The following is a 12,777-nucleotide window of genomic DNA, read 5'->3' on the forward strand; positions in this document are numbered from 1 at the left end:
AGCAGGAAGTGTTTATGAGTGTCCTTGGGTAATCCTGTGCCTTTTATCTCCTCCAGTCCTTGCATGCCTTGCCCATGGTAGATTTGCAATGAGTGAAGACTGTTTATTGCATGTGACCCTATTGAAAAGGCTTATTTTTAAAATCACATTTCCTAAAAGTAGAATTCACACAAATGGTGTTGGTTTTTCTGTTTTGATGCACAAACCATTTTCTGCTTTCTACTCGCCTTTGCGGGCAGCTCAGACAGGCAGTGGAGTCTTCGTGGGGGCATCAGCGATGCTCTCCATGGGCTGTGCCTGGGCCCCGGTCACATGCTGGGCTCTGAGGGACCATTTACATGGCTATGTATGGCACATCTGCATGATGGGCGATGTGGTGGGCATGGCAGAACATTCAGAGGCACACACAGATCTAACTGCTTCTTCATAAAGATTCTTACACAAAATGCTAGGGGCCTGGTGACTTTCACCATAACTAAGACTTTCTCTTAGTCTGCTTGGGCTGCCATACATAGCAAAATACCATCGATCAAGGAGCTTATGCAGCAGGTGTTGATTTCTCACAGCTCTGGAAGCTGAACACCAAGATCAAGGTGCTCGCTGATTCAGCTCTTATGGCAAACCTTCCTGGCTTGCAGATGGCTGCCTTCTTGCTGTGCCGTCATATAATAGAGAAAAAGTCTTCTTTATAAATCACTGAGCCCATCATGGGGCCCTACTCCCCTGACATCTAAACTTAATTGCCTCCCAAAGGCCCTACCTCCAAGTACAATTACTTTGAGGGTTAGGGATTCAACATACGAATTTTGGGGTGACATAAACACTCAGTCTATAACAATGCTCCCTCAATGCCCGCCAGAAATTGTTAGCTTCATTGGATGGTGGTGAGAGAGAGGGCTTTGGTTAAATCAGTCCTGAATTTGGGCAGCACATTGACATCTCTGATTTCATTAGTTGGGTATGGTCTGGGTTTGGTCTGGGGGTTGCGAGTTTTAAAACCACCCCGGGTGATTCTAACGTGCAGCCAAGGTTGCCAGACACAGAGTAACTGCATTCTTTATGTGCCTGCATTATATGATGTCTGGTCCTCCCAGAGGAAGACACCTGGCTGTAGGAGAAAAATGACATTAACTTACATTTTTGAGTATGCCTCTGTACCAGGTGCTGAACAGAGTGTTCTGACTTATCGTGACTGTGACGTTCATCATTGTAGTAACTCTCATTTCCCTGTTTTCAAGATGAGGTGGCAGAAGTTTGGGGCCTCAGGTCTAGCTTCCTTGCAGAGTTCACATCTTTGCTTGTGCCCCTCCCTCTGCTGCCTTTTAACAAGAGCAGAATCTCCAATGCTCTCTGTGCTCAAAAAGAAGAGGAAAGAAGCTCATCTGAGGGAACCCAGGAATTTGGGGAGCTGGGATACGCTCCATCATTTGGAGAGTGACAAATTCTACCCGGCTTCCAAGAAGACACTCAGAGAAGTGAAGACTGAGGGAGGGGGCTGTGTTGAGAGGCTCGCACAGTCACTGGGCACCTTCTTGGTTCCCTCTTGCTTAGTCCTGGGTGGCAGTCGCCCAGATGCAGGGCAACCGGTTCTGCATTTCACATCTGAGCTGCCCAGAAGCTGTGACTTCCAAAGCCTGCATTTCCACTAGCTGCAGCGGCTGCCTACCTGCAGGTCGGGAGAGCCAGTTGGCCTGCGAGTCAAAGCCACATTTGAGTACCGGGTGGCCCTTTCTCCACTGAGTCCTGGCAACAGGTTGCACCCCACAGCACAATGCCAGCCTCTTTCCGGGCGCAGCGGCTCTCAGTGAAGCGCGAAGCCCAGGTTCCAGTCAAAGAATTGCCAAGTGAGTACACACAGCGTTTCCAGCTCATTTCCCTGCATTATCCCAGGTCTGTGTATAAACAAAAAATCAATAATAGCTCTTGGTGGTATTTTAATTGGCATTAGCTGTGTTTTAATTAGTAAGAGAAGCAGGAGGAGGGAGGTCAGGGGAAACTCCTCTCTGACTGCCACCTCCTCCGGAGTGTTTATACACCTCCAGGGAAGGCACAGCAGCCCCTGGCTTTCTTTCTTGAACTGCCCATTAGGATAATTCATTCACAATAAGCATCTCTTCTCGAATCTGATTCAGGGCTCCCAGGTTAACGTCCTCAGTCTAGGAAAATAGCACCTGCAAATTAAATGTACGCCGGGGCTCCATTGCTTAGCACTGTCTAACAGTTTGCAAAAAGGTGATTTGCAGATTTAAAAGGAGATTCAGTCTTTGAGAGGCAGGCAGAAGGCGTGGAGGGACAGCGGTGGCCTCCAAGAGGGGACAGAGTGGCTCAAATCCTAAACCCACCTCCCAGAGGTTGTGGGGTCTGCAACAAACCCTCCTGTTGTCTGAGGAATTTCCTAACTGAGGTATTCAGACTCGATTTAAGGGGCTTGGGAAGGGGCATGTAGCAGTGAGGACAGGAACTAACCCATTATTAGAATCTGCTGGGGGGAGGGCGAGATTGGGAAGGTCTGTGTTGTTTTAAGAAGTTGATGCATATAAGCAGCCTCCAACACTGCAACAGTTTTCCAACAAAAGGAAACTTCTGGAAAAAATAAGTTAAGTCAGTGTTTTCATTAATGAGATGTACTTTTAGCAGCCCATTTAAAAATTTATTTTCAAACAGCATCAAAAAAAGTGAGGCAGGACCTCGCTTTTTTTTTTTTTTTTAGATTTAACCAAATAGGTGGTATGGGTTAAAGAAATGGGAAAACCCTGGACTCTCCCATCTTTCATATTCTGTAATTTTATCTGGTGGGGAGATCTATTAAAATTAAAAAAAAAAAAAGAAAACATTTGGATCATTTGCAGAATTCAAGCTATGCCCACTGATCCCAGCACGTATCAAACACCAACACCAGGCTGACAGGGGCTGAGCTTTGCTGCACACAGATGAACAGGGCAGCAGTTTGATCCTTAATCCTGTAGACAGGAATCTAGGTCTTCACTCCGTCTAGACAGCACGCATCTGAGGCTCTGTCCCTCCAGGCTGGCATGGAGATGCCTCTCCTTTCCTCCTCCTTCATCACCTCATTTCCTTCCCTAAACATCAGTTTCCACACGGCATAAATGTTGTTTTTATTTCTAGTCTTCCAAACATAAATTGAGTCACCTTAGCATCTTCCCCTGGCTTCGCCTTGCACGAGGACAATCCCAGGCTACTTGGCCTTGGGGGCTCCGGGCTCCTCCTGTTCCTCCCTTTCGCCACTCAGGATGCCCAGTTCAATTGGTCTGGAGGGGGGCTCTGGGTGTTACTTCCAAACACCCCATCCCAATAGGTGACTCTAAAGTGCAGGCAAGACGGGCTGCTGCTCCTAAGAGTTCCAAAGATAGAAAGCATTTGAGTTTGGGGTAACTCGAATCTGGGCATTGCATGGGGCATCCCAGTTGGATTTAAAATCAGGTAAAGTATTTACAAGTAGAGGTGAGGAAGGGCATTCCAGACCAAGAGAGCAGCCAGGAGGGGCAGCGGATGCCAGGTAGGGGATGAAGGCTTGGGCGGTGTTCCCTCCAACTAGTCAGTGCTTGGGCTGAACAATGGCCCCCCAAGGTTTCAGGTTCTAATTCCTACTTGTCAGTGTTTTTTTTAAAATTCAACTTTTATTTTTGAAACAGGGGGTACATGTACAGGTTTGTTATGTGGGTATATTACACCCAGGTACTAAGCATAGTGTGCAACAGGTAGTTTTCCAGCCCCCCTCCAAGTAGACTGCAGGGTCTGTCCCCATGTTGATGTCCATCTGTGCTCAGTGTTTAGCTCTCACTTACAAGTGAGAACATATGGTATTTGGGTTGCTCTTCCTGCATAAATTTACTTAGGATAATGGTCTCCAGCTGCATCCATGTTGCTGTGAAGGACATGTTTTCATTATTTTTTTGTGGCTGTATAGTATTCCATGGCGCGTATGTCCCACACTTTCTTCATCCAGTTCATCTTTGATAGGCACCTGGGTTGATTTCATGTCTTTGCTACTGTGAATAGCTCAGTGATGAACATACAAGTTCATGTGTCTTTTGGTATAATGACCTATTTTCCTTTGGGTATATACCTAGTAATGGGATTGCTGGAACCAATGTTACCTTATGTAGAAAAAGGGTCTTTGCAGATGTGGGGTCTGTGCAGCTTAAGGGTTGTGAGATGGAGAGATTATACTGGATTATTTGGGTAAGCGCTAAATGCAATCACAAGTGTTCCTATAAAAGACAGATGAGGGAGATTTCACACATACAGATGAGGAGACCACATGAAGATGGAGGCACAGACTGGAGCAATACAGCCACAAGCTAAGGAAGCCCAGAAGACACCTGAAGCTAGAAGAGGCCGGGAACCTCCCCTAGAGGCTTTGGAGGGACTGCAGCCCCACCAATATCTTGATTTTGGAATTGTGTCCCCCAAAACTGTGAGAGAAAAAATTTCTGTTGTTGTGAGCCACGCAGTTTGTAGAAATTTCTTCTAGCAGCCCCAGGAAGCTCATGCTGCTAAAGTGGAAGATCTTTAGCAGACAGATTTGGCAGCCTGGGGCTAAGGTACAGGAAGGGGAATGCAGTGGGAGCGGGAGGCATGTTCTGGAGACAGGGAGACTGAAATCCAGGGCGGCTCTGGGTCTGCCTCAGATTATTGTCAACAGAAGCTTAAAGGAAATGAAAATAATAGAGTGTGGCAACAGAGAGAGGAGGTCAGGCTCCCCCAGGGCTGAGAGAAGAACTGACAGCGTGAGCAGAGTCTCCTGCAAGGATGGCCCTCCCTCACTAAGGCAAGGGAGTCAGAAGTCAGGGATGGACTGACGCCGAGGCCGGGAGCTGGTAGGGTGAAGGAGCCCCTTGCACAGATGGTCTCTCAGGAGGCATCAGGGTAGCATCCTCCAGGGTTGGTCCCTGGCCACACTAAGGTCATCCCCATGGATTCTGAGCACCCAAGCAAGAGCTGACCCTAAAGACTCCATGAAGTGCCTTACAGGGAGAAGCCGACATCTGCCACATCCACCTTGTCCACCACAAGTACCTGGAAGAAGCTGCCACCAGCTTCTCAAACTTACCAAATTGTGGAAATGCTGTGTGTGTGAGAGAGCGAGAAAGAGGTGGGAATGGGAAAGTAAAGAGAGAGGGAAAGAGATAGAGGGGAGAGGAGAGAGAGAGCTGTCTGTGTTTCTCTTTTGACAGAACTCTTGTTTATTCTGGAAAACAGCGGTCCCGAGCAGAGCAGCGCTGGAGAATCATTTCTACTTTATTTGGGAGAGCGCTTCTTCACGCCAGAATCCCATAAACTGAAGTCTTCCAGATTATAATCACACGTGTTAGTGTTGGGAACTAAGGCAGGGATTTACTGACAACACTCAAACATTTCATTTTTTTTATTCGTTCCACCTAGCAGAGATTCATTCATGTATTCACTCATTCATTCATTCACTCATTCATTTGTTCACTTATTCATTCAACAGACATCAGGCCAAGGGGCATTCTTCCAGGCACCAATGATTAAGCAGGGAGCAGGGAGCAGCGAGCTGGGGACCCACCTGCCTTATGGGCACATGGTCCAGTGAAGAAGTTTGGGGATTTTGACTCTGCCACTGAATTGATCAACTCACCCCTTGCCTGTCACAGCCTTCTGACATACAAAAAAGTAATCAAAAAAGCTCCATTGCCTCCATCAAAATTATCAACAAAAATGTCACATGGGCCCCTGCTGCTGACAAAATCCTCAAGCAAAGCAAGAGAACACCCCTTCTGGATTGAGAGCTCCCTGAACCCCATACCCTGGGTCCTCTTTCAAAATTTGCCCCTTTCTCCGATTGCCTAAGACATTCTGCATTCTCGCGTCTGGGGAACACACTTTATCCTCTTCTTTCTTATTCCTACCAGACTGAGAGTGATGAAAGCTTCTTCTCAAATCAATTTCTGCCTAGGAGAACACCTAGATGGATGGGGAAAGCTGCCTACCTTGCCCCCAACTAGCTGTGCAACTTGGGACCAACCAATTCATCTCTCCACTCTTTATCTGCTCATCTAGAAAATAAGATAATACCATATTCTTCTGAGGGTTGTTGTCAGAATTGCAGGAGACAAGGTGTTGGATAGTGATTCTGTCTGAACATCCTTTGCACCTTTGTTTCCTGAAAGCTTTTCCTCTTCCCCAGCTATCTCCTAGTCATCTTCAGCTGATTTGATGCTTTTACTGCATATCACACTTTCCTGGTTGCCTGTATCCCTGTAGGAATTAAACAGCTTGTTGTGTGCATTTTTATTCATGCTGGCCTGTTGCCTACTAGACCATTGGTTCTAAGGTGCGAGGTCCACACGTATGGCCCCATCACCGAGAACAGCATTAGGCACTTTGTACAGGCAGAGTTTATATTGTTGAAAGGATCAAGACATGCATGATTTAATTAAAACATTGATGCATTCATGTATTGTTTGTGTGTTAATTTCTGTGAAACATTTTTTAAAAATCAGATCCTGAGTCATGAAAGTGAGACAAAAATTAGACTTGGCTTTTGCCTATGGCAACTTTGCCAACCTCATAACCCACCAGAAGCATAAACACTATGTGCATCAAATTTAGATAACTCCACCAAACAAAGGCAAAGCAGGATTGATTGTGGAAAGTAAGCTGAGAAATAACAAAGTACATTCTGTGCAGTGTGAAGATTAAATGCATATGAAATACCCATCTTGCCAAACTGCCTTCAGCCAAATTTTGCAATGCAGGCCAGAAATCAGGAACCATTCCCTGACTCGAGGAGAGTCTAAGAAATCCAAGAATGATCCCCTCCCAAGGATTTCAAAACAACAAGCCAGGAAGGGTACTTTTCTGATGCCTTCTGTATGAAAGAAGAGTTCCAAGATAATGCCTGCTGTCCTCTGACTGCCTTTCTGATGAGCAACAAAATGTTTGATTTTCTTCTAATAGATTTGTCATTTTACTTCAAGTATCCAGTATTATTGACCTATGGAACCTCAATTTCAAAGCCATTAAAATCTAATTTTCCACACTGTGTCCCCAAGAGATTGACTAACTTTCAAAGAATAATTCATTTTGTTTAAGGAAAAAAATGCATCTCTCTATATTTTCTTTTTCATTCTTTAAAATAATTTAAGGGACATTGCTGTCAGCATAGCCATTATTACTCCCCCAGTGCCTTTCTTGCAAAAGAACATAAGTGCTCCTCTGACAAAGTAAGATTTGGTCACTAAGGACTGAAGGCTGTATTTATGTGGGGAAACTACCACTTATTGATATATTATAAAAGACCACTGTCATGTTTCACCATCAAGAAAGCAGGACAGAAGTCTCAAGGTTATTTGTTTTGGAAAATAACAGATGTGTCAAAGACTAAGCAGAAAAATGTTTTGAAGGGGAGAATGTCTTCTGGCAAGTTTCAGGAGTCCAAGACCTCTAAAATTGAGTTATCTTTCTCAGCTGCTAAACTGAACCTCTCCATTTAAAACTCTGGGATCAGAACACCTAACGAGAGGCCACTTAGGCAGGTGTTCACAAATCCATATACAGAGATCTCAGTCAATTGATGGGAACCACATGGGTGTCATCACATGGGACCCATTATACTTGCTCCTTCACAAACATATGCAATATGGGATCCTAGAGTTGAAAAAGGATATTAGTGGACAAATCAGGGCTACTGGGCTACTAGCGGAGCTGCTAGTAGTTAATTTCTTGGTTTAGGTTTTTGTACTATGGTTATGTAAGATTACATAAGGATTAAGATTACGTTAGGAGTAGGTATCTGGTGAAAGGTGTATGAGAATGCGTCTTACTAACTTTGCAGCTTTTGTGTAAGTCTAAAATCATTTAAAAATAAACATTTAAAAGAAATGTATAGTCCATATATTCAGAAAGGTTGGAAAGCAAGAGAATATACCATTGTCATAAAAACATGCCAGGATGCAAGAACAAGTGAATGCTTCATTCTAAAGCTCCTTTGGTAAGATGTGTGCAAGTCTGTGGACTAGAAAGTTATGCCAGCCACTTGACTTTACTTGAATGCCATGGTTTCTTTATACAATCAAGTGACTGGTGCACATGATACCAATAAACTTCTGTCCTTGCATTGGAAGAGTTAGCAAACAAGAGGTGCAGCCCACTAGTGCCTGAATTAGGTCATAATGGCACACCACGGCACCAGTTGTACAATGGTTGGCCCATAGCAGATGCTCAATAATTCTTATTAGTTAGTCTCCTGCAGGTCAAGTCACACCCAAGGAACATACTATCCATGTGATTGCTAGAAGCCCAATTCAGAAGGATAAACCTACAATTTAATGAGGATTTCACGTTGACCTTGAAACACTGGCAGTATAAAGGAAGGTCTGAGTAGTTTTACAGGATCACAAAGATGAAGGGGGATACCAGAGTCAAGACCTATGACTGGGAGCCCAGAGGGGAGGTGAAATCATCTGCTCAAGTTTGAGACCTATTGAAAAAAGCACTATTATTTTCAAAGGGCACATTTCACGAAAGTTTGATACATCTAGGTGGGTTTGAAATGGGACTATGGATCCAAAGAGTCACAAGTAGCCCAGGGATGGCCATCACTGTTTCTCATCCCCCAAGAGATTAGGGGTTTTTTGTTTTCTCTTGCTTCTTCATTTTATGTAAAATTAAATAAGTCCTTTCTCTTTGAGCTCTGCAGTCTGATGCTTCTAGAAGTCCTTTCTCAGTCTTGCTGGCTCATGAGAACAGCTAGGAGGGGCCCCATTGAGAGACTGCAGTCTCCAAGGGAGGCTGGACAGAGAGAAGGGCCTTTCTGGGCCTGGCCTCACCATGTCCTTGCTGTGCAGCCTGATCAAGTGACTCCTCATTCTGTGTCAGTTCCTTCATTCCAACATGGATAAGAACACTCTGCAGTACCTAGTTATTGGAAGGGATAAATGTAATGACATGGCCAAGCAGCTTGCAGCACACAGGGCTGCTTTGTAAATGCTGGCGGCCATCATTACTCTTTGTGATCCTGGTTCAGCCAGAGGGAATTTGGCTGAGGCTACTGGACATGTGTTTCTGCAAAAGACAAGGTCCCGCCAAACAGCCAGTTCCTGCAGAGGCCCCTGAGCAGGAGAAAACCAAACCCCAAAACCACACAGCAGTCTTTCTTTCCTGCACCAAGGGAGCAAGAAGACCATGAGAGGACCTGAAAGGCCAAAGATACCAAGGGAAACTAAAGAGGTAGGGGTTGGGAGGAGACAATCCTGCAGAAACAGGAAGAAATTGCTTTACTCAATAAGCCAGAGATGCCGGCATGGCTCCGCTCAGAGCAGGTGCCTGTCCAGGCCCCCAGCTACCTCCTTCATTTCTGTTGCCCACTCACCACTCTCCTCATCCTCTCTCTGAGCACCCTCAATATTTATACTGTAAATGTGGAGGACATCAGTATTGTTTGAAATGTACAAGCCTCTTTCTCAAAATAATCTCAGGAGGTTTGAACTAGTAGGAAAGACATAAAAATAAGACAACTTGGAACAAAGATGTGGAAAAGTACTTTGAAATTGCCTAGGAATGCCTCTCAAAAGTCATTTCAGCACACATTAGGTACCCACGCTCTGCAAGCATTGCCATGATTCAGGATATCTGAGTGCTCCTTACATTCATGGCTAATGTTAACTGAGCTTTCACTATGTGTCCAGCATAGGACTGTGTGCCCTCTACACATCACTTGCTGAGTTCCTACAAGAGCCACAAGAGACAGGCATGATTGTTATTCTCATTTTGCAGAGGTGAACATGCAGGCTTAGTAGGGTTAAGTAATTTGCTCAAGGTCGCATAGCTCAGTAATGGCAGAACTGGGGCTCAAACCAGACAATGAGTTCAAGCCCAAGCCTGCAAATTCGGTGCTGTCCCATGGGTCTACTTAAGCAGAAAGTCTTTTTCCTTTCTGGATGTGCATCCCTTGGCATCTACCTCCTGCACTCGGGAGATACTCAATAGACATTCTTGGACTCAGTGAGGCCAGATGGGCTCTGAGCCCGAGGACTCTCATTGCTATGATGCCATCACCCACATCATGAGCTTTGCCTTTGCTGGGGTCCTGTGCTGGGAGATTCTGGAGGGGATGGCGGAGCCTGAACTGGGACCCCTCCTATTACAGATGCACTCTTAGAAACGTACCTCACACCGAGTCTGCAGGCTCACATCTCTGACAAAGTTGAGAACTTAAATTCTCATTAGGCAGAAGAGTCTGTTCCATGCTTATTTCATCTGGGTAAGAACGGCTGGAGTGAGCGCAATCAGGCGGAATCTGCTTGAGAGTCTTCAGAGGCGCTCGCTGGGGAGGCAGCTGCAGCCAGGATGGCTTCCTGCATTTCAGTTCTCTTCTTCAAGACCATCTGTTTTCCCACAAAGGCATGTTTCCTTACATCATTCTTTATATACCTCGTCTCCATCTCACACACACACACACTCACACATGCTCACACACACACAAACGCAGTGCTCTCCCAATGCAAAATCTATATGTGTAATCAACATTTTCATGAGACAAGTTCATAGAATAGAATCTGAGCTGAGAATCTCAACTTAGTCTGAAGAAATATTTAGATCCTGGGTAGCCTGAGCGTATGCAGGTGTGTGTGTGTACGTGTGTGCGCATACACACACACACACATCCTCCCACCCCTACCACATTCCTACATCTTTGCACAGAGTAATGAAGAGGATTTATTTGCTCTATTTATTGGGCCTGATAATCCCTTTCTAAAGAGAAGGATGAGGTGGTGCTGCTGCATCCCTTTCAGCCAGAAGGCAAAGCTTCAAGGACATTCCTGTCACCTCAAGTGCAATATCACTTAAACAAGCCCAAACCTACCAGCTAGGGGCTTCTTCTCACACACATTGGCATCCGCATTTCTGCTGTTGCCCATACACTGATGGAAAGCCCAGGTATCCTTGTGGAGTTCTGCCTTCTGGCCAACCCATAACTCAAGCCCAAGCTTCATCCTTCATGTTCCCACTGTCTACACCTTCTCTTAGGTCTCTCTTCCCATCCCCAGCCCTGTAATTCAAGTTTTCCTGGCTTAGGACCATCCCCTGTGTTATGGTTTGGCTCTGTGTTCCCACCCAAATATCACCTTGAATTGTAATAATCCCCATGTGTCAAGTGCGGGACCAGGTAGAGATAACCGAATCATGGAGGCAGTTCCCCCAGGCTCTTCTCATGACAGTGAGTGAGTTCTCCCAAGATCTGATGATTTTATAAGGGGCTTTCCCCTCCTTCACTCTGCACTTCTCTCTCCTGCCACCATGTTGGACCTGTTTGCTTCTCTTCTGCCATGATTATAAGTTTCCTAAGGCCTCTACAGCCATGTGGAACTGTGTGTCAATTGAGCCTGTTTCCTTTATAAATTACGCAGTCTTAGGCAGTTCTTTATAGCAGCATGAGAATAGACTAATACAGTAAATTGTTACCACAGAGAGTGGGATGCTGCTATAAAGATATTTGAAAATGTGGAAGTGACTTTGGCACTGGGTAACAGGCAGAGGTTGGAACAGTTTGGAGGGCTCAGAAGAAGACAGGAAAATGGGGAAAGTTTGGAACTTCCTAGACACTGTTGAATGCCTTTGACCAAAATGCTGACAGTGATTTGGACAATAAAGTCCAGGCCGAGGTTGTCTCAGATGGAGATGAGGACTTGTTGGGAACTGGAATAAAGGTGATTCTTGCTATGCTTTAGCAAAGAGACTGGCAGAATTTTGCCCCTGTCCTAGAGATCTGTGAAACTCTGAACTTGACAGAGATAATTTAGGGTCTCTGGCAGAATAAATTTCTAAGTGTCAAAGCCTTCAAGAGGAAGCAGAGTGTTAAAGTTTGGAAAATTTGCAGCCTGACAATGCAATAGAAAAGAAAAACCCATTTTCTGGGGAGAAATTCAAGCCTGCTGCAGAAATTTGCATAAGTAATGAAGAGCCAACTGTTAAGCACAAAGACAATAGGGAAAATGTCTCCAGGTCATGTCAGAGACCTTCACAACAGCCCCTCCCATTACAAGCCCAGAGGCCTAGGAGGAAAAAAATGGTTTTGTGGGCCAGGCCCAAAGCCCCCCTGCTCTGTGCAGTCTTTGGACATGGTACCCTGTGGTGCCTCAGCTGCTTCAGCTCCAGCCATGGCTAAAAGGGACCAAGGTACAGCTTAGGCCATTGCTTCAGGGGGTGCAAATCCCAAGCCTTGGCAGCTTCCACATGGTGTTGAGCCTGTAGGTGCAAAGATGTCAAGAGTTGAGGTTTGGGAACCTCTACCTCAATTTCAGATGATGTATGAAAACACCTGGATATCCAGGCAGAAGTTTGCTACAGGGGTGGAACCCTCATGGAGAAGCTTTGCTAGGGCAGTGTGGAAGGGAAATGTGGGATCAGAGCCCCCACACAGAGTTCCCACTGGGGCACTGCCTAGTGGAGCTGTGAGAAGAGGGTCACCATCTTCCAGAACCCAGAATGGTAGATTCACTGTTTGCCTAGAAAAGCTGCAGACAGTGAACTCCAGCCCATGAAAGCAGCCAGGAGGGGGGTGTACCCTGCAAAGCCAGAGGCAGAGCTGCCCAAGGCTATGAGAGCCCACCTCTTACATCAGCATGCCCAGGATGTGAGACATGGAGTCAAAGGAGATCATTTTGGAATTTTAAGGTTTAATGACTGTCCTATTGGATTTCAGACTTGTGTAGGGCCTATAGCCCCTTTGTTTTGGTCAATTTCTCCCATTTGGAATGGATGTATTTACCTAATGCCTGTATCCCTGTT

General features: G+C 45.6%; 1 annotated feature.

The window, feature by feature from the left end:
* Positions 1,673-2,173: an enhancer, noted in NCBI's record as "H3K4me1 hESC enhancer chr1:5203113-5203613 (GRCh37/hg19 assembly coordinates)". NCBI's record gives its function as "activates a minimal SCP1, AML or CMV promoter by ChIP-STARR-seq in naive H9 embryonic stem cells {active_cell/tissue: H9 hESC(naive)}" and the evidence as "EXISTENCE:reporter gene assay evidence [ECO:0000049][PMID:30033119]".

This window comes from Homo sapiens, chromosome 1 (assembly GCF_000001405.40).
Source record: "Homo sapiens chromosome 1, GRCh38.p14 Primary Assembly".
Classification (NCBI taxonomy): Eukaryota; Metazoa; Chordata; class Mammalia; order Primates; family Hominidae; genus Homo; species Homo sapiens.